Here is a 22,495-nt window from a genome sequence, read left to right as displayed (position 1 = left end):
GATCACCTGAGGTCAGGAGTTCGAGACCAGCCTGACCAACATGGTGAAACCCCCGTCTCTACTAAAAATACAAAAATTAGCCAGTGACGCACACCTGTAATCCTAGCTACTGGTGAGGCTGAGACAGGAGAATCGCTTGAACCCAGGAGGCAGAGGTTGCAGTGAGCCGAGATCGTGCCATTGCACTCCAGCCTGGGAGACAAGAGCAAAACTTCGTCTCAAAAAAAAAAAAAAAAAGAAAGAAAAAAAGAAATTACCACTAAAGAACTTATCCATGTAACCAAAAACCACCTGTTGCCCAAAAACTACTGAAAGAAAAAAATGGAAATACAGTATGTTAACCAATTTTTCTTCTTAAATTTTAGTATACTATTAAATATATTAACGCTTAAAATTCTTTAAAAAGAGCCGGGCGCAGTGGCTCACGCCTGTAATCCCAGCACTTTGGGAGGCCGAGGCAGGCGGATCACAAGGTCAGGAGATCGAGACCATCCTGGCTAACACGGTGAAACCCCGTCTCTACTAAAAATACAAAAAATTAGCCGGGCGTGGTGGCGGGCGCCTGTAGTCCCAGCTACTCGGGAGGCTGAGGCAGGAGAATGGCGTGAACCTGGGAGGCGGAGCTTGCAATGAGCCGAGATCACGCCACTGCACTCCAGCCTGGGCGACAGAGCGAGACTCCGTCTCAAAAAAAAAAAAAATTTTTTTTAAAAAGAATGTCCCCCACAAGGCCAGACAGCTGGGCCTCTATATCCCAATCTTGCTCTGTCACCAGATGCAGGCTGCTCCAGAAAGGGTGTGACCTTGGTCAAGGCATCTCTCAGGAGCTGAGGCTGACCTGAAAGAGCTGACAGCTGTAGACTGTCTGCTGACCATGTGCTCCACAGCTGGACATCAAGTCTTTCCTTGAAGGTAAAGTACCTACCTCAGCTATTTTCCTCCAACTCTTTCTGCAAGAGCCATATGGTTTTCTCACGATCCCCCAAAGCACCACATTCACCCTTATCTTGGAGTGGGTTTGTATGCCTGGAAAATTTTCTCCACCCTCTTCTCCAGGATAACTACTTCCCATTCTTCAGGTCTCATTCTTAAGAAGGCCTTCTCTCACCCACTTCTTTGTAACACTCATCTCTCTTGTAATTTGCTTAATGCCTTTATTACCTGCTTCAACGCCCTCCATGAGAACGGGAAGGATGCCTAACTTGTTTGTGCTGAATCTTCAGCATTGAACAATGTGCCAACAACAGAGTAAATATTCAGTGTATATTTGATGAATGGATTAATTAGCTAGATATGCTTAGTGTTTTAGTTTGGGTTCCCCCAGAAGCAGATTCCAAAGCAAGGATTCTAGTACAAGCACTTTCTTTGAGAGGTGATCCCAGAAACACCAGCGGAAAAGCAGGGAAGTGAGGCAGGAAAGGAAGGGCAGCCAATTCATTGCCCAGTGCCACTGTGGGCAACTGGAGCTTAATCATGCTGGGGAAATCAGAGAATCAGCTTGAACTTGTGTCTTGATGACATCCATCTAAGAAATGAGGAACCACATGTTGTATGATTCCATTTTTTGTGTTAGTCCGTTTGCAGTACTATGAAGGAACACCTGAGACTGGGTAGTTTATAAAGAAAAGAGGTTTGATTGGATCACTGTTCTGCAGGGTGTACAGGAAACGTGGTGCTGGCATCTGCTTCTGGTGAGGGCCTCAGAAGTTTTCAATTGCGGAAACTGAAGTGTTCAGTGGTGAAAAGTGAAGGGGGAGCAGGTGCATCACATGGCAACAGCAGGAGCAAGAAAGATAGGTGGGGTGGGGAGTCGGGAAACAGACTGGTTTTGTTTTGTTTTGTTTTGTTATTTTTTGGAGACAGGGTCTCACTCTGTCACCCAGGCTGGAGTGCAGTCATGCGATCTCGACTCACTGCAACCTCCACCTCCCAGATTCAAGAGGTTCTCATGCCTCAGCCTCCGGAGTAGCTGGGATTACAGGTGCCCACCTGTAAGCTGGACCACACCTGGCTAATTTTTGTATTTTTAGTAGAGGTGGGGTTTCACCGTGTTGGCCAGGCTGAACTCCTGACCTCCAGTGATCTGCCCACCTCAGCCTCCCAAAGTGCTGGGATTACAGGCGTGAGCCACCATGCCTGGCTGGGAACCAGACTTTTAAACAACTGGATTTCACATGAACTAAGCAAGAACTCACTTATCATTAAGGGGATGGTGCTAAGCCATTCATGAGGCCTCTGGCCATGCTCTATTCACCTCCTACCAGGTGCCACCTCCAACACTGGGAATCGTATTTCAACATGAGGTCTGGAGGGGACAAGCATCAAAACTATATCACATTTCTATGAAGCGTCCAGGATAGGCCAATTCGTAGAGACAGAAAGTAAGGACAAAGGATGGTACTAACTGGTGCGGGCTTCTTTGGAGGGATAGAAACATTCTGGAAGTAGGTAGTAGTGAAGGTTGTACAACATTGTGAATATATTAAAAACCACTGAACAGTATCCTTTAATATGATGTGTTTTTGTGTTTGTTTTTTTTTTTTGAGACGGAGTCTCACTCTGTTACCCAGGCTGGAGTGCAGAGGCACAATCTCAGCTCACTGCAACCTCTGCCTCCTGGGTTCAAGTGATTCTCCTGCCTTAGCCTCCCAAGTAGCTGGGACTACAGGCACCCGCCATCATGCCCGGATAATTTTTTTTTGTATTTTCAGTAGGGACAGGGTTTCACTTTTGTTGGCCAGGCTGGTCTTGAACTCCTGACCTCATGATCTGCCTACCTCGGCCTCCCAAAGTGCTGGGATTACAGGCGTGAGCCACCACGCCCAGCCTAACATGATGAGTTTTATGTTATGTGAATTATATCTCAATAAAACAAGTGGCAAAAACGAAATGAGGGGGGCTGGGATATTTATACACTATTTCATTCATGATTGAAGGCTACTGGGGGATATGGGTATTAATTCCGATAGAATTTCCAGTCTTTTCTAAGCTCAGATGGAACAGGCTCCAGAGACTAGGGTAAACCTTGAGCAAAAAGATGCAGATACCAGCCGTTTGCAGTGTGAAGGCGTGATGCACTAAAGTGAGAAGGCTGAGGCGTCCAGGTAGGGCAGAGACAGGGGTTGCAAGTGAGAGATGGAGATAGTGAACCTGCCTGGCGTATTCAAGGATGAGTCATTCTGTGGGGAAGAAGGATTCCCTCAGAAGCCTACAGCTCCAAGAACTTATTATTCTAAACTTATTCTAAAACAGATCAATACATGGATGACATGTCTAGGGAGCCCAATTATCTCAGCTGTAACCCCAAATCAAGTAACGCTGTAGAAAGAAAAAAAAGCACTAATTTAAGTAGTAGGAGGAATTGTGGTAGGCTGGATAATGAAGCCCCACTGCATATGTCTTTCTTCTAATCCTCAGAACCTGTGAATGTTCCCCCTCTAAGCAAAAGAGAATTTGCAGGTGTGATTAGTTAAGGGTCTTGAAGTTGGGAGATTGTTCAGGATTATCTAGGTGGGCCTGTTGTAATAATAGGATCTTTAGAAGAGGAGTGAAGAAAGAGCCAGAGTCAGAGAAAGAGATGCAATGAAGGAAAGAGGCTGGAATGACGCTCTTTGAAGATTGAGAAAGAGCTGGGTGCGGTGGCTCACACCTGTAATCTCAACACTTTGGGAGGCCAAAGCAGATGATCACTTGAAATCAGGAGTTCGAGAACAGCCTGGCCAACACAGGGAAACCGCCTCCCTCTAAAATTACAAAAATTAGCTGGGAGTGGTGGCAGTGCCTGTAATCCCTGCTACTCAGGAGGCTGAGGCAGGAGAATCACTTGAACCCAGGAGGCAGAGGTTGCAGTGAGCTGAGATTGCACCACTGCACTCCTGCCTGGGTGACAGAGCAAGACTCCATCTCAAAAAAAAAAAAGAAAAAAAGATTGAGAAAGAGGCCACAGGCTAAGGAATACAGGCAGCCACTAGCAGCTAAAAAAGGCAAGGACACAGATCCTTCCCCTCAGGGCTTCCAAAAGGAAACAGTCCTGCCAACATTTTGAATTTTGCCCAGTGAAAATGATTGCAGACTTCTGCCCTCCAAAATGTAAAAGAAATGTGTGTTGTTTTCTGCCAGGCACAGTGGCTCACGCCTGTAATCTCAGCACTTTTGGAGGCTGAGGCGGGCAGATCACATGAGGTCAGGAGTTCAAGACCAGCCTGGCCAACATGGTGAAACTATATCTCTACTAAAACACAAAAATTAGCTGGGCATGGTGGCACACACCTGTAATCCCAGCTACTCAGGAGGATGAGGCAGGAGAATTGCTTGAACCTGGGAGGCAGAGATTGCAGTGAGCCGAGATGGCGCTACTGCACTCCAGCCTGGGCTACAAGCATGAAACTCTGCCTCAAAAAAAAAAAAAAAAAAAAAGGCCAGGCGTGGTGGCTCACGCCTGTAATCCCAGCACTTTGGGAGGCTGAGGCAGGTGGATCACGAGGTCAAGAGATGGAGACCATCCTGGCCAACATGGTAAAACCCCGTCTCTACTAAAAATACAAAAATTAGCTGGGCATGGGGGCACGCGCCTGTAATCCCAGCTACTCGGGAGGCTGAGGCAGGAGAATTGCTTGAACCAGGGAGGCAGAGGTTGCAGTCAACCAAGATCGCACCACTGCACTGCAGCCCGGTGACAGAGCAAGACTCAGTCTCAAAAAAAAAAAAAAAAAAAAGATTGTATTGTTTTAAACCACTAAATGGGCTTTAAAAATCATCGCTTCTGTCCCCGATACATTGCAAAATTTGGAAGGGTCTTGAAATCATAAAGAAAATAAATATTTTGTATTTTGACTTTGTTATGTTCAATGTAGTCAATTTCTATCTTTTAATCTCTTAAAATATCATACTCATACTTGTCTTCATACAATTCCTTTTTAGAATAAACAAATACTATTTGGAATAGAGTGTGTGTGTGTTTATTTTAATAAATTGAATGTTAAAATTTACCTCTTAGACTTGAATTTATAAATTATATTATGCCAAGTAAAAATTCTTACTAGAATATTGGCATAAGGAAAAAAAAAAGTAGATAAATTCTCAGAAAATAACATGTTTACAACTCTAAAAATACTGAGAAATTCAGTAAATTAAATAGAAATATTCCTACTCTATATCAGTTCATATCAGCATATTCAATGTGGGTTGAAGGGAGAGGGCTGCCAGACATGAAGGTGAGTGTGTGAGGTCCTTGAAGGTGAAAATGAGACACAGGGTAGGATAAGGTAGTGAAGTCTTAGAAAAATAGAAAAAAAATGCAAAGGGTTTAAAAAACACTTAAAAAGCAAGGTGTTCCAAGGACACTCGGTGAAAGGCCCATAGAGCTTATCTCTGATTAGCTATTATCCAGTCTCTTCTCTACACTATATCACCAGATAATAGCAAATAAAATTCAGGCCGGGCACGGTGGCTCACACCTATAATCCAAGCACTTTGGGAGGCCGAAGCAGGCAGATCATTTGAGGCCAGGAGTTCAAGAGCAGCCTGGCCAACACGATGAAACCCCCCTCTCTCCTAAAAATACAAAAATTAGCTAGGCTTGGTGGTGGGCACCTGTAATCCAGCTACTCGTGAGGCTGAGGCAGGAGAATCCCTTGAACCCAGGAGGCAGAGGTTGCAGTGAGCTGAGATCACACCACTGGCCCTCCAGCCTGGGCAACAAGAACAAAACTCCGTCTCAAAAAGATAAATAAAAATGATAAAAATAAAATAAAATTCAATCATGTCATTCCTCTGCTTAAAATGTTCTGAAATTTGTTGGGTCAAAATAAAACAAAAAGCCATACACCATAATCTCAATGGCATGCAAAGCCCTTGATGAATGGTTGCCAGCCTCCTTCTTTAACCTTATGATTATCATCCCAATCATGCCAGACAGTCCATTGTTCCCTGAGACAGCTCAGTGTCCTTCATGCCTCAGGGCCTTTGCAAATCCTATTTCCTCTGACTGGAATGAGTCCTCCTTGCTCTCATCAAGTATCTATTCATCCCATCCTATGTGTCTTCTCAGTGTTGTGTTTGCTGGAAGAAGCAATCCCTTGTGAGCTTTGAGCATCCATCCCTGCAGGTTCTTGCCAGGTATGCCAAGAAAACAAGGCCCTGACTGCTCTTTACCAGGGCTGTTTTTCAGCTCCATGGGACTAGGGGGATGGGGGTGGGGAATGGGGACCTGGCACCAGTGTCATGCTCATGCTGCTCACGGTGCTATCAGTCATAAAGTCATTTGTCCCTGACCTAGCGTTCTTATGTCTTCTGCCAGCATCCATTAAACATTACCAGGTGTATTAGTCTGTTCTCACACTGCTATAAAGAAATACCCAAGTCGGGCCCAGTGGCTCATGCCTGTAATGCACTTTGGGAGGCTGAAGCAGGTGGATCCCCTGAGGTCAGGAGTTCGAGGCCAGCCTGGCCAACATGGCAAAACCTCATCTCTACCAAAACTACAAAAATTAGCCAGGTGTGGTGGCACACGCCTGTAGTCCCACCTACTGGGGAGGTGAGGCAGGAGAATCACTTGAACCCGGGAAGCGGAGGTTGCAGTGAGCCGAGACCACACCACTGCACTCCAGCCTGGGTGACAGAGTGAGACTCCGTCTCAAAAAATAAAAGAAAATACCCAAGACCAGCTAATTTATAAAGGAAAGAAGTTTAATTGATTCACAGTTCTGCATGGCTGGGGTGACCTCAGGAAACTTACAATCATGGCGGAAGGGGAAGAGACACATCTTATATGGATGCAGGCCAGAGAGAGTGGCACACAAAGGGGGAAGAGCCCCTTATAAAACCATCAGATCTTGTGAGAATTCACTCATCATCATGAGGACAGCAAGGGTGAAACCACCCCAATGATCCAATCACCTCCCACCAGGTCTCTCCCTAGACATGTGGGGATTATGGGGATTACAATTTAAGATGAGATTTGGGTAGGGACACAAAGCCTGACCATATCACCAGGCTAGCTGGTTAGCTTGCAAGTAGGGTAAAATCCCAGATTCTTCACAGTCCTTGACAGTTCTCTATCTCTCCATACAGGGTTTGTGGCCTTTTCTATCTGTGATCCCACAATATTTGCTCAAATAAAGTAAGTTATGTTATTATAATAGGGCATAAGATATGGCCCACAAGAGATGTATGGAAAAATGTTTGTCAAAGAAATAAAGAAAATATTTCCAGTTCAATAAAGGTCTCTGCTCTGTTAGCTGCGTCATTTGTCCCTAATTAAAACTCAACCCATTTAAATGGAACAGACAAGATGAGAATACCCTTTTATTGTCAGAAGAGATCCAAAAATGACTAATGCTCTGAAGACCTTGGAGAATCTAAAAGTGACAGTATTAGGCTCTTACAGTCTCTCTTCATGTCAATTAAATTTGGCTGGCCTGATCCTCTTAACAATTCCTAGACTTGTGAAAAAAACCCATTTTTAAAGCATTCTTTCTGTAGTCCAGAGAACGCTATGTTTCCTGTCCTTAAGAGTTGAAGGTTATATCTACATTCTGAGATTTTTTAATGAGATTTTTTTTCTGAATGTTGTAAACTGAGGGAGAAAAACTCTTATTAATTATTGAATTCTTTTCCCAGTGATTTTATCATATTTTTGCAGCCAGGAGGCATGGCAGTATATTAATAAGCTGAAAAAAAAGAATAAATAGAATCTCACTTGGTTATGAGATTGTGAAGAGAAATTGGGAAAATGCAAAATAACAAACAGAAGCAGCTGTTAGAAAACCCCAGAAATGAGGATATTATAAAATAACAAACATCTCTCTAGCCAAGGGCAACAGTTTGGCTTAAAAGATGGAAGCCAGAGTTACCCCACTAATGAGCTATACAAAAAACTCATACTTCCTCTTGCCCAAGTGGTAGGGAAAGAAGGAATAACATTTTACTCAATTCAAAATTAGTAAAACAGCTGTATTTAAATTAAGAACTGAACTCCAAGCCTCTGATAATTGAAATCAGATTTATATTGATGAAATGTGTATTTTGTTTTTCAGATATCTTATGGGAGGGACTGAGTTACTGCTGAAAATGGACCCTGGCTAAATGGAGGAGGCTGATCCAGCCTCTCCATCCCTGCTGGCACAGTTACCTGCAAGGACACACCAAGGTTATGGTAACTGAGGCTTATGCTCCAAGCAGTGCCATAGACTGCACATCCTGGCTCCAGGGTTTGATCTGTGCAGAAAGTTAAAAAGCCAGTTAGCTGTTTTGCCAAAACCTTCCAATATTTGGAATGGCTTGAGAGAACACTGCACATTTCATTCAATCTTAATCTACTTTCCTTAATTTTATCCTACATTTGAAGGTGCAAAACTGACCCTATGGAAACATCATTAATCAAAGCAACATGGGTAGAGGAGAGATGAGTCTCCTAACATTCAGAGAAAAGGATTCTACATAGCCTCATAGTTTTGTCAGCTGTGCCGAACTGCCCTTATTGTGGCTCAAGTCAGAATGCTTAGGCTGTATCTTGGGGCTCTAAGAGGAGGTTAGATAATTCCCACTAGCTTTACCCAGGCATTCAATACTTCTATGAATACAACTGACACAGAAGAGGGGGAAAAGCAGAAATGATCAAGACCCAGTCCTTACTTCAGCCATTGCCAATGCACACCAATGGCCCTCACCCGCCTTTTCACTGCAAAGCCAGAAAACCACAGTGCCTTCTACTTTAAAGTTCCATGTGCCAGCTATTTCTCTCTTCAGCAACACCTTCATTATCGATCAGGGGCTGGGAAAAGTGAAATTGTGTTTCACCATTATTCTTTGATAATTAAATAGTTCATTTGGAGAACTCTGGGTTCAGTAGTGGATGAAGTAGGGGGAAACGCTGTGGAAAACAAAACAGCTTGGGAAAAGGAAAGAAAATTTGCTAGTCTCAACACCCCTTCTCCCCCATTTGCCTTCCCTCTCCTGCGAGGGAGAGTCCTTTATCTCAGACTCCAAACTCCTCTCACCCTGTAGATTCCCACTGGCAGCTCCTGCAGGGAATGCAACTAAGGTTCCAGACTACCAAGGATGTGGATTTTTGTTGTTGCTTTTGTTTTTAGAGACAGGGTCTCACTCTGTCACTCAGACTGCAGTGCAGTGGTGCAATCATAGTTCACTGAAGCGTTGACTTCCTGGGCTCAGGTGATCCTCCCACCTCAGCCTTCCTACTAGCTAGGACGACAGGCTAATGCTACCATGCCCAGCTATTTTTTTTTTCTTTTTATTATCTGTTTTTTTAGAGGCAAGATCTTGCTATGTTTCCCAGGCTAGTCTCAAACTCCTGACCTCAAGCAACCCTCCCGCCTCAGGCTTCCAAAACGCTGGAATTACAGGCATGAGCCACCGCACCTGGCTGAAGGACGTGTGTTTCTATATGTTCTGTGTTGCAAACTGATCTAGTAATATGAATGCCAATGAAACCATCTCCTGTACCATTTTGGGTACCTGGGTAATAAGATGAGCACCACTGACAAAGACATCATCAGGGGCACCCCAAGGAAATCTGGAGCTCCTGGTTCTGGTTTACAAATCATGAGAAAAGCCTTTTTGACCCAATCACTCAAATTTGTGCTTGGGTGCACTAAATTGTGGGTTTGGGTTACTCTGGTGGTTTTGTTTCCGTTTTTTCAAACTGGGGAAGTAACTAACAAGTAAAAGTTGTTTTTCACTTCCTCATTTGTAGTAAGAGAAATAATAGAGCTCAAAATTAGAGTCGCCTAGTTACAACTCTACTTAAACGTTGCCTACAACCTGCTAGAGGCTAGTACTTTTCTGCGTTTTGTACTGCAGGGATCTGCACATGCCCCAACCCCAGGGTGGAAAGGTGGGGCCCGCAGAAACAGCCTACAGACATGTTTCTCCAGAGAAATGAGCTTACTGGAATCCCTGGACTGGCAAGTAGTTTAGAGCCAGTAACCTATCAGCAACATCTCAGTTCCCAGAAGTGTAGCCCCCAGAATACTCCTTCTTCTTAAGGCCTATATCTGTTGGGAATGTTCTTATATTAATGGATTCCACAAAAATGGTAAGTAAATCAGTTTTTCAAAAAAAAAAATTGCATTTAAAGGCAATTATAGGCTGGGTGTGGCTCACACCTGTAATTCCAGCACTTTGGGAGGCTGAGGAGGGTGGATCACCTGAGGTCAGGAGTTCAAGAACAACCTGATCAACATGGTAAAACCCCATCTCTACTAAAAATAGAAAAAATTAGCCAGGCGTGGTGGCACGTGCCTGTAATCCCAGCTACTTGGGAGGTTGAAGCATGAGGATCACTTGAACCTGGGAGGTGGAGGTTACAGTGAGCCAAGATCGTGCCACTGTACTCCAACCTGGGCAAGACGAGTGAAACTCCGTCTCAAAAAAATAAATTAATTAAATAAAGGCAATTATATATGGAACACTATAAACAAAAAGTCAAAATACACCCAACTGCTATATTGGGCAATATCCTCTTTCCCCAGCATTTTATTAGAACCGTAAGAATATTCTAAAAGATGTCATTAATCTTGGCTAATTTATAGCTACCATTTAAAACTCAATTACCCTGAGCCACATTTCTCATATAATCCCAAATAGCTGTTATTCCTGATTATCCTGTTTCTTGTAATGGCACCAGTATTCTTCCATTCAACCAGGCATAAAATGTCAGATCCATCTTTCACTCCTTTTCATGACACCCCTTCCCCATATGATCAATTGCCAAATCCCATATTTCCTTAACAAAGTGGCCCCTAATCTCCCTTTCTACTGAAACCCTAGTTCTGGTCCTCATTCTGGCTTTAAATGGCCACATCAGCTCCCAGCATCTCCATTCTTCAACCCATTTTGCACATGGCATTTTGATTAATCTGCTCATATCATCGCTTTGGTTTTAGGATCCACCCATTAAAACATCTTTCAGGACTCTTGCTTACAGCAATGGTTTTCATCTGGTAAGACATAGCACTTTGTGTCTTACCTTGTGTCATACCTTGCATACTTTGCAAACATCCTACCACCTTTTGATCAATAGGTAGAATGCATTCAAAGTTTTTTTTTTTTTTTTTTGAGATGGAGTTTTGCTCTTGTTGCCCAGGCTGGATCACAATGGCACAGTCTCGGCTCACTGCAACCTCCACCTCCAGGGTTCAAGCGATTCCCCTGCCTCAGCCTCCCGAATAGCTGGGATTACAGGTACCTATCACCATGTCCAACTAGTATTTTTACTAGAGATAGGGTTTTGCCATGTTGGCCAGGCTGGTCTTGAACTCCTGACCTCAGTTGATCCACCTGCCTCCAAAGTACAGGGATTACAGGCGTGAGCCACCGCACCCGGCCATCATTCAAACTTTTAAGAGCAATTTCTGTCAAACAACGATGATCTGAGAAACTTGTGGAGTATTAAACAGAGTACAACTTGCTATAAGTAAGAGGAAAGAGGCTTAGAGTAACATCAAGTTTATGCCAAGGGAATGATCTGGTGCTTACTGGAACTTGTGAGAACATCGCCTCCAAGTATTCAAAAGTGCACACTGTCTGGGAATAAACAGCTCTGCTCCAAAAGAAACATAGTGCTGAAGGTCAACCAAGTGAATAGTACAGTAACTATGGATGCTTTTATAGACACTGTGAGACCATAGCTACACTATACTATGGTTTGTGCTGTAATTACTGCTGGCTTGTTTAGTGTATCCAGAATTTTTTTTTTTTTTAAGAGAGGGTTTTGCTCTGTCACCCAGGCTGGGGTGCAGTGGCACAATCATAAGTCACTGCAGCCTTGAACTCCTGGGCTCAAGCAATCCTCCTGCCTCAGCCTCCCTGGTAGCTGGGACTACACGCACATGCCACCAAGCCTGGCTAAAGTTTCTGGACTTTTAATCCTTTCCACTATCCTGCCAAAAATTCTAGCATTTAAAATATTGAAAATCACAAGCTGAAAAGACTTAAGTCCAACACAACATTCCTTAGCACAATGCATGAGGCCCTTCTCATTTTGACCCCGACCTCTCTTTACAGCCTTAATTCCCAATACTTTCCCCCTTGAGTCACATTGGATCACAGATTGTTCTTTGATTAAGCCAGCTCTTCCATGTCTCTGGGACTTTGTATGCAGAAGAAACATTATGTCCTTTTTTTTCTGCACTTATTTATCAAGACCCAATTGCAATAGCATTTCCTCTGATGTCTTTTCTAACTCTTCCAGCGAGAGGTAATTGCTCCCACAGTCCTTTGTACATATCTTCATTATAGCACGTACCCTCAGATTTTGTAATCATTGTTCTACACTTATCTCTAAGACATCAGGAAGAGTATATCTGAGTTGCCAAGGGCAAAGGCTTCATTTTATTCATCTGTGAATTCTCAACTCCTGGGCTATTATAAGCCCTCAATAAATGTTGGTAGAATTGTTTGGGTTTTTTTTCTAGGGTTCGGGCCACCTATAACCTACTGCTAATTAATCCTTCAAAAATGATCTCCCACAACTCTGCTTTATGTTCCTTGTACTCAAACCAAGTTAGAATATTTGCTGTTGCTATGCTCATATGATTCAAAGGATTCTTTTATTTGGAACATTTACCCTGTCTCCATGATAGCCACCCGCAATAAACCTACCCATTCCTGATGACCCAGTTCAAATTCATGTTCTCCTAAAAAGTCATCCCTCATACTGAGGCTAAGCATTTTCTCTAAACTCTTTCATATTTTAGTTATATAGCTCTCAGGACACTGAGTCACTTTAGCATATTTTACTTCCCTTACATGGTTATGATATCCTTGAGGCAGGAATGATGCTTTAATAATCTGTTTCCTCATTGGTACCTACACAATATGGTGTGCATGAAAATTTCCAAATGCATGAACGAATAAAATGATACATATGTCTAGTATATCATTTATTCACAGTAGTCTGTTTACACACGCTATCATACAATTAAATTAAAGACTGGCTTAATTAATAGGGTAGTTTCAGCACTTCCTTGGTACATTATGCAACTGTTATTCCATGTTGCAAATTCTTGTATCACACTGTCAATGCTATTGCAGGCCTATTTGCTTAATGAGATAAATTTTTTAAAGTGTGTATATGTGTATATATACATATATAAATTTTTAGACAGAGTCTCGCTCTGTCACCCAGGCTGGAGTGCAGTGGTGTGATCTCTGCTCATTGCAACCTCTGTCTCCCGGGTTCAAGCGATTCTCCTGCCTCAGCCTCCTGAGTAGCTGGGACTACAGGCGCCCGCCACCACACCCAGCTAATTTTTTGTATTTTTAGTAGAGACGGGGTTTCACCATGTTAGCCAGGATGGTCTCCATCTCCTGACCTCCTGATCTGCCCGCCTTGGCCTCCCAAAGTGCTGGGATTACAGGCGTGAGCCAAGGCACCCAGCCAAGATAAATTTTTAAAACCTTATATAGATGTCTCCCTCTTACGTTGGAATGTGAAAATTCTAATTTATAAAATAGAGTAATAATAACTCCTAATATAAGTGAATTCCTTTTATTCTCTTCTGGGCAAAGTTAGTTTCTCCTCTTTGCTTCAGTTCACATATCCATTATGGCAATTATTTCTATTGCTTTGTAATTATATGTTTTCACTTTTATCTCCCCTCCTAGATTTTGAACTTCTGAAGGCTAAGAATCATGTCTTATATATCTATCTATATATATCTCCCTACTGATTGATCTATAGTAATTAGTTTACATATGTAAATATATGTATAGATATTATATTGAATTTATACTTATACATAAACATGTATTTAATATGTTATTTAATATATTAGTTCTATTCTCCCATTGCTATAAAGAAATACCTGAGACTGGGTAATTTATAAAGAAAAGAGGTTTAATTGGCTTATGGTTCCACAAGCTTCACAGGAAGCATGGCAGCATCTGCTTCTAGGGAGGCTTCAGGGAGCTTTTTACTCATGGCAAAAGGCAGCAAGAGCAGGTGTCTTACATGGCAGGAGCAGGAGGAGGAGGGAGGAGGGGAGGTACCACACACTTTTTTTTTTCTTGAGATGGAGTCTCACTCTGTCGCCCACGCTGGAGTCCAGCGGTGTGATCTCACCTCACTGCAACCTCTGCCTCCTGGGTTCAAGCGATTCTCCTGCCTCGGCCTGCCGAGTAGCTGGGGTTACAGGCGTCTGACACCTCGCCTGGCTAATTTTTATATTTTTATTAGAGACGAGGTTTCACCATGTTGGCCAGGCTGGTCTTGAACACTGACCTCAAGTGATCTGGCCTCCCAAAGTGCTGGGATTGCAGGTTTGAGCCACCGTATCTGGCCACTTAACACTTTTAAAAGGAGTGATAAGAGTGCAGCATTCTAGATGTGAACCTGTGTTTCTTCCACTGTGTATTGCTTCTCTCTCTTCTGTCCTCTTCCACTTCTTAACTCACCCTTTCTACTTTCTTTACCCCCTGGTTTATCTATTCTTCTCTCTTCCACCTTTCTGATTTCTTCTCTTTTTGTCTTCTCTCTTTGAACTGGACATTAGATAAAATTGAAGTATACTTCCAAATTATTTTAGACATGCTCTTTACTTTTGATTGATTCTGTAAGGAGTACTATCCATGAATAGGAAAAAAAAAAAAAAAGAATGCTTTCCTATCCCTGGTGGCATGATGAGATACAAAGCATCTAACATCAAGGGTGAGTGGCTTACGTTCTGATCCCAGTTTCCCAATTTCCACAAGTGCCAATCTGGGAAGACTGAGTTGTTTTAATTATATACGAAACAAAACCAAATCCCTTACTTCCATTTAGTGGAAATGGCTGAAATCTCTACTTATTTGTTACAGAACAAAATATTTCCACTTAAGACAGGCCTGCTGTCTTCAAACCAATAATGGTTTCTGCACTTCTACAGGTCATTTAGGCTCAGTGGCAGACAAAAAAGCTCCCTTAGACAGAGATCTGCAAATTCCCAGAAACATTGTTCCTTTCTCCATCTCTCCACAGACTACAAAGAAATGGGGGTGAGGCCGGAGTGTCTGGGCATCCTCCAAGCCCTACTCCTCTGAAAGGAGAAATGCTTTCTGGTAGAATTGACTGGAGAGCAGTCTACTAAAAAAGCAAAGTGTGACTGCAGTGAAATGGGGTTGATTATCCTGTGAGGCAAAATAGGATCTAGACGTCATTTCTAAAATATTTTGCACATCAGCCCCATCAGTGGAATGAAAACACAACTTCCTAAGCAGATATCTTTGAAAGACAATGCTGGTAATTTCTTTTTTCTTTTTTTTTAGAGACAGAGTCTCACTCTGTCGCCCAGGCTGGAGTGCAGTGGCACGATCTCGGCTCACTGCAAGCTCTGCCTCCAGGGTTTACGCCATTCTCCTGCCTCAGCCTCCCGAGTAGCTGGGACTACAGGCACCCGCCACCACACCTGGCTAATTTTTGTATTTTTAGTAGAGACGGGGTTTCACCGCGTTAGCCAGGATGGTCTCAATCTGCTGACCTCGTGATCCACCCGCCTCGGCCTCCCAAAGTGCTGGGATTACAGGCGTGAAGCCACCGCTGGTAATTTCTTTTTTAAAAAGATTCTTCTTGATAGGACTTAGATCAAATGCCACTTCTTTTTAAAGCTTTCCTTGATCTTTCTTATCAAAATTCATTGTTCTCTCCTTTTTACTTCCATAACTATACTTCTATTAAAGAATAAGCCTCTGGAAATTGGCAGTTAACTTTAATCATATTTGTATACCTGAACTTCTGTGCTGGTGCCTACAAATATCAGGTGTTCCATGCCTGCTTGTTGATTGGACTAAAAATCTGCTAAGTTGTTTATTTTGGCCATTAACAATTACAGTACAAGGGTTGTGAGTCTATGTCACATGGTCATTAAAACTAGCTGTGTTTGCTGAAAAGTTAAGCTTTCAAAACATGATACATAACCACTTGCTTTTTATTTTTACACATCTACCACCTAAGATTTTAGGACATCTTTGGAAACAATAGAATGTTACATAAATGCTAGTGTTACTGTCAGGGTCAGAGATGAACAGAAGATATAGTGTTTCTGTGGCTATGCAGTCTAGAAATGTATTTTTGTTAAATGTGGTTATTTAAAATAAAATGTAGTGTAATAAAACTTTATTGCTATGTTTAATACATCCTCTACTAAAATCAGAATTCATCGTTAGGATTAACTGTTTGGTAGGCTGAGGCGGACAGATCACTTGCGCCCAGGAGTTCAAGACTAGCCTGGGCAACACAGTGAAACCCTGCCTCTACAAAAAAAAAAAGAAAAAAAGAAAAAAAAACCTAGCAGGGCATGGTGGCATGTGTCTGTGATCCTAATTACTCGGGAGGCTGAGGTGGGAGGTTTGCTTGAGCCTGGGAGGCAGAGGTTACAGTGAGCCAAGATTGTGCCACTGCATTCCAGCCTGGGTGCTAGAACAAGATCCTGTCTCAAAAAAAAAGAAAAAGAAAAAAATTATATGAACTGAAGTGTATGCTTGCTCTACCAATAGAAAATTGTTTTGCTAAAAAGAAATAAAGAAATAAAGAAAAAAAGGAAGAAGAACAAGAAAGCAAGCTGTCTTGAAAGAATTTTATAGGTTTCAAATACAAATAATAACATAGCAATGACTGTGTTGTAAAAAACTGTTTTCCCAAAGTAGGTGTCAATGATTTTTTTTTTTTTTTTTTTTTTTGAGACAGAGTCTCGCTCTGTCACCTAGGCTGGAGTGCATTGGTGTGATCTCGGCTCACTGCAACCTCCACCTCCCGGGTTCAAGCAATTCTCCTGCCTCAGCCTCCAGAGTAGCTGGGACCACGCCCGGCCAGTGATTTCTTGCCAACACCTTGGCCCAATAAAGGGGTATCTCTATGGCTACTGTATCTGAAAGTATTAAAGCTGCCCAGTTGTAAAAATACCCCTTTTTTTTTTTTTTTGAGATGGAGTCTCGCTCTGTGGCCCAGGCTGGAGTGCAGTGGTGCGATCTCAGCTCATTACAACCTCCGCCTCCCTGGTTTAAGCAATTCTCCTGCCTCAGCCTCCTGAGTAGCTGGAATTATAGGCACCTGCCACCATGCCTGGCTAATTTTTTTGTATTTTTAGTAGAGACAGAGTTTCACCATGTTGGTAAGGCTAGTCTCAAACTCCTGACTTCAAGTGGTCTGCCCACCTTGGCCTCCCAAAGTGCTAGGATTACAGGTGTAAGCCACTGCACCCGGCCTAAAAATAGCTTTTTTTTTTTTTTTTGAGACAGAGTCTTGCCCTGTCACCCAGGCTGGAGTGCAGTGGTGCGATCTCGGCTTACTGCAAGCTCTGCCTCCCGGGTTCATGCCATTCTCCTAGCTCAGCCTCCCGAGTAGCTGGGACTACAGGCACCCACAACCATGTCCAGCTAATTTTTTGTATTTTTAGTGGAGATGGGGTTTCACCGTGTTAGCCAGGATGGTCTTGATCTCCTGACCTTATCATCCGCCCACCTCGGCCTCCCAAAGTGCTGGCTTTTTATTCACACTTTTCCTTTAGCATAATTAGTAAGGTATATATTTTCTACACAGTTTATTTAAAATTATTTTGAACATGGATCATCAGAGGACCTAGGAAATCTAAGCTATTTTATACAATAGTGACAGAAAATCATTTCGAAAAAAAGACAGTAATAAGGGAAAAAAATCTTCAGTTTTTGCAAGCATACAAGTAAAAAGACTGATTACATTTACAGCAATCTACTGTCGTAAAACATGACATGAAATTTAAAATTCAAAGGATTCCTTTAAATTAAAAAAGGAGGCCGGGCGCGGTGGCTCACGCCTGTAATCCCAGCACTTTGGGAGGCCGAGGCGGGCGGATCACGAGGTCAGGAGATCGAGACCATCCTGGCTAACACGGTGAAACCCCGTCTCTACTAAAAATACAAAAAATTAGCCGGGCGTGGTAGCGGGCGCCTGTAGTCCCAGCTACTCGGGAGGCTGAGGCAGGAGAATGGCGTGAACCCGGGAGGCGGAGCTTGCAGTGAGCCGAGATCGCGCCACTGCACTCCAGCCTGGGCGACAGAGCGAGACTCCGTCTCAAAAAAAAAATAATAATAAAAAATAAAAATAAAAAAAATAAAAAAGGAAGTTCAGAAAGATCAAGATTTCGGGGAACTTAAAACCCGCACTGCTACAGTCAGAAAATCACAAATACTGGTCCATCGGCATTTGATCATATATGCTATTGTTATTGAAAAGCTAATATTTGAGGGACTTAACGCTTCACCCAATGGTGAAAGCCTTGAACTAACTGTAAGTCTAGAATTGTGCAATGCTTTCAGAGTACAAATAGAGGAACAATGACCATAAAAAGATATCTGGAGCTCACATATATTCCACTGAATCTTAGTTCCCATTCTTCAAGTTGTTTTCATTGGAACTTTTAAGTGAAATGATCAGAAAATGAATTTTCCAATCCTAATTCAATAAAGTGAGGCAAGGTAACACAGTCAGAAGTACTCCCCAAGTGGGCACTCAAGAGGGAGAGAATCTCACACTGAGTCTGAGAAAATGTTTGATTAAAGATATTGATACATTCAGGGAAAAGAGAAATACTGTGAACTTTGTTTTAAGGAATACTATTTAAGTGATCACACTTTTGGTTTTTCATTACAAATTTTGTGGAATAACATTTGAAATGTGCTGCAAAGTATTCATGTTTTGAAGTAAGCAATAGGTATAACTCTTGGTAAATGAAATGCCACATTTCTGTATTTAAATGTTTTCTCAGTCAGCCCATATTCCAATCTTATGTCTGGTGAACTTATTTTTACATGCCTTTTTTATTATTCAACTAGAAAAACTAAAAAAAAGTCAGTAAGCAAAAAAGGAGGAAAAAAGTCTATATTGCTACCACCCAGAGATAGACAATATAAACATTTTAGTTTATATACTTTAAGCCTTTTTTGAAAAGAACAACACAGACATTATGTTGTAACTTGACTCTCACTCCTCTCCCTCAAATTACTTGTTGACCTAAAAGGAAAAAGCTGAGGCAAAATTAATATAGGTAGAAAGATTATGGCTGGGCACAGTGGCTCACACCTGTAATCCCAACACTTTGGGAGGCTGAGGTGGGAGGATCACCTGAGGTCAGGGGTTTGAGACCAGCCGGGCCAACATGGTGAAACCCTATTTCTACTAAAAATACAAAAAATTAGCCAGGCGTAGCGGTGAGCGCCTGCAATCCCAGCTACTCAGGAGGCTGAGGCAGAAGAATCACTCGAACTCAGGAGACAGAGGTTGCAGTGAGCTGAGATCGTGCCACTGCACTCCAGCCTGGGCAAGAAGAGCTAAATTCCATCAAAAAAAAAAAAGCGATTATTTGGGGTGAACTTGAGGATTGCAACCCAATATCATAAATTCAAGTAGCTCTGAATATACATTCCAATTAGCAGCAGTTACAAGTGAATTTATTTATTTCATTTATTTTTTCTTTTTTAGATAGCATCTCCCTCTGTCACCCAGGCTGGAGTGCACTGGAGCAATACAAGTGGATTTTTTTTTTTTTTTTTTTTGAGACAGAATCTTACTCTGTCGCCCAGGCTGGAGTGCAGTGGTGCAATCTCGGCTCACTGCAAGCTCCGCCTCCCGGGTTCACGCCATTCTCCTGCCTCAGCCTCCCGAGCAGCTGGGACTACAGGCACCCACCACCACACCCAGCTAACTTCTGTATTTTTAGTAGAGACAGGGTTTCACCATGTTGGCTAGGCTGGTCTTGAACTCCTGACCTCAGCCTCCTAAAGTGCTGGGATTACAGGCGTGAGCCACCGCGCCCAGCCTACAAGTGGATTTTTAAAGGCAAAAAAGGGGGGCAGCAAGTCGAGTGACAAAGTTGATTGTCAGGAATTCTCATTGGTTTACAGAAATAGCATTGATTAGTTATTGGCTATATATTGATAACCTATAGGGTGTGGTTATAGTGCCCAGTGTGGCATAATTAGGTAAACTTATTATAGCTTGTGGCAATAGCAAGCAGTTTCATGGGATGAATACATAGCTCAAAGTGGGGAGAAGGATGTGATTGATGTCTCATTTTAATGTCTCTTTGGGCCTGATAATTAAAAGGGCTTGCATTCCTCAGATAAAAGTTTTTTTTTTCCTCTTACTATAATGTGGACATCTGACCATGCCAACATATATTCATCTCACCATTTTTTTTTTTTTTTTTGAGACAGTCTTGCTCTGTCACCCAGACTGGAGTGCAGTGGCACGATCTCGTCTCACTACAAGCTCTGCCTCCCAGGTTCACACCATTCTCCTGCCTCAGCCTCCCCAGTAGCTGGGACTACAGATGCCCGCCACTACGCCCAGCTAATTTTTGTATTTTTAGTAGAGGTGGGGTTTCACCGTTTTAGCCAGGATAGTCTCCATCTTCTGACCTCGTGATCCACTCGCCTTGGCCTCCCAAAGTGCTGAGATTACATCTCACCATTTTTAATGGCTTCGTGGTAATTTCATTGCATGAAAATATAGCATAATTTACTTAACCAATTCTGCATCTGTAGATGTTTAAGTTGTTTATTATACAACACTGGAATGTGTAAGCAATCTATTCTCTATTCTGCACCTACAATAATCTTTTAAAACATAAATCAAGTAAGTCACTTCCCTATTGGTGCCCTAACTCCTCACCATGGCCTATAAGACTCTACCTAAAAAGGGTCCTGGCTCCACACCAAGAACCTCTCACCCCTCTTTCTTTCACTTACTTGCTGAAACCCCACTTGCCTCTTTCTGTGGTCAGACAAACCAGCAACATTTTTTCTGTCTCAGGGCTTTTGAACATACCTTTCCATTGGAAAGGAATGTTCCTCTTTAGCAAGCTCCTCACCATCCCTTCCTCCACTCAGGAGCCCCTTCTTTGGCAAGACCTTCCCTGACCACCCACCCTGCCACCCTCCACACCCTTCCAGATAGTATTCAGAAATTTTCCTTTGTAGCATGTACCACACTTGTAAATAAATTATTTGCCTCTGAGCACAGTGGCTCACGCCTGTAATCCCAGCATTTTGGGAGGCCGAGGTGGGAGGATCACTTAAGGCCAGGAGTTTGGAACCAGCATGGCCAACGTGGCAAAACCCTGACTCTACCAAATATACAAAAATTAGCCAGGTGTGGTGGTGCACCCCTGTGGTCCCAGCTACTCAGGGGCTGAGGCATGAGAATAGCTTGAACCTGGGAGGGGGAGGTTGCAGTAAGCCGACATCACACCACTGCACTCCAGCCTGGGCCACAAAGCAAGACTCTGTCTCTAAACAAACAAACAAACAAATAAATAAATAATTTGCATCATTATTTGTTTAAACATTTCTCCTCCAAGAGACAGAAACTCCATGAGGGCCAAGATTGCATCTAATTCCCCACTGTGTTCTCAGCTCCAGCAATAATGTCTGACATAAAATAAACACACCAAAAAATATTTGTCAAATAAAAGAAATACTAGTTTTCTCTGGGCAGAAAACACTGGAGTTTAAAAATAAATTTTACAGGGTTGAAATTCTTATTATGTTAACAGCTGGCACAAGAACTCTTCTTAGGAAGGGAACAGTGCCTGGGGTAATACCTTGATAAGCCATCTGAGGAAAGGCGTGCCCTGCCCCAAGACTGTGGCAAAGAAAGAAAAGGCAGGTCAGTTCTGCATGACAAAACAAGAGGAACGTGTTTGGCCTTGCACAGGAAGGAGGGGCACCAGGTAAGGTAGAGAGAGACTGAGTGAAAATTCCTTTGGTGAAGTTGCCACTTTCACGTGTTAGCAATGGCAAATCCATATGGGTCTACAGCAACCTCATTCCTTGCCTCCTCAGAAGAAAAATTCCACTAAGGGGCATAAGGCAGAGTGAGAGACCCATGCAAGTTTTAGAACAGGAGTGAAAGTTTATTAAAAAGTATTAGAGCAGGAATGAAAGGAAGTAAAGTACACTTGGAAGAGGGCCAAACAGGTGACTTGAGAGATTCAAGTGCATGGTTTGACCTTTGACTTGAGGTCTTCTATGTTGGCATGCTTCCGGGGTTGCATTACTTCTCCCCCCATTCTTCCCTTGGGGTGGGCTGACCCCACATGCAGTGGCCTGTCGGTATGGGGGAGGGGTTGCATGCACAGTGTGTTTACTGGAGTTGTACACATGCTCACTTGAGGCGTTCTTCCCTTACCAGTGGAGTGTTCCTAGAAGGTCATATACCAGTTAAACTCCACCATTTTGCCTCTTAATGTGCATACTGGAGCCCACTCACCTAACTCCTAAGATCTTACCGGGAAGCTGCTGATCACCAGTTTCATGTGTTTTCTATTTATTGGGAGACTGCCTTTCCCTGGCACTGGCTATGACCAATTATTATTTTAGAGAGACAGTTAACAACCACCTGACTAACACCTGATGGTCGCCTGACGTTTCTGGTGAGTAGGGGGCCCTCTCCTGCCCTACTCATGTCTGCCTGACTACCTACTGTAACACATGTCTGTCTCTCAAATCGTCGGTAAAGTCC

General features: G+C 42.8%; 1 long non-coding RNA gene across 1 annotated transcript in view, besides 4 other annotated features; it reads right to left on the bottom strand.

Moving 5' to 3' along the window:
• ARFGEF1-DT (ARFGEF1 divergent transcript) overlaps positions 1 to 22,495 on the bottom strand; it is a 148,035-nt gene that overhangs the window by 89,072 nt on the left and 36,468 nt on the right. The gene's annotated exons all lie outside the window — the stretch shown is intronic.
• Positions 9,401 to 9,480: an enhancer, noted in NCBI's record as "active region_27498". NCBI's record gives its function as "activates an Ori minimal core promoter by ATAC-STARR-seq in GM12878 lymphoblastoid cells {active_cell/tissue: GM12878}" and the evidence as "EXISTENCE:reporter gene assay evidence [ECO:0000049][PMID:35858748]".
• Positions 9,491 to 9,550: an enhancer, noted in NCBI's record as "active region_27497". NCBI's record gives its function as "activates an Ori minimal core promoter by ATAC-STARR-seq in GM12878 lymphoblastoid cells {active_cell/tissue: GM12878}" and the evidence as "EXISTENCE:reporter gene assay evidence [ECO:0000049][PMID:35858748]".
• Positions 9,731 to 10,010: an enhancer, noted in NCBI's record as "active region_27496". NCBI's record gives its function as "activates an Ori minimal core promoter by ATAC-STARR-seq in GM12878 lymphoblastoid cells {active_cell/tissue: GM12878}" and the evidence as "EXISTENCE:reporter gene assay evidence [ECO:0000049][PMID:35858748]".
• Positions 21,276 to 21,887: an enhancer, noted in NCBI's record as "OCT4-NANOG-H3K27ac hESC enhancer chr8:68293145-68293756 (GRCh37/hg19 assembly coordinates)". NCBI's record gives its function as "activates a minimal SCP1, AML or CMV promoter by ChIP-STARR-seq in primed H9 embryonic stem cells {active_cell/tissue: H9 hESC(primed)}" and the evidence as "EXISTENCE:reporter gene assay evidence [ECO:0000049][PMID:30033119]".

Source organism: Homo sapiens, chromosome 8 (genome assembly GCF_000001405.40).
Source record: "Homo sapiens chromosome 8, GRCh38.p14 Primary Assembly".
NCBI lineage: Eukaryota > Metazoa > Chordata > Mammalia > Primates > Hominidae > Homo > Homo sapiens.
Note: the sequence above shows the minus strand (reverse complement) of the source record. Positions and strands in the feature narration are given on the sequence as shown.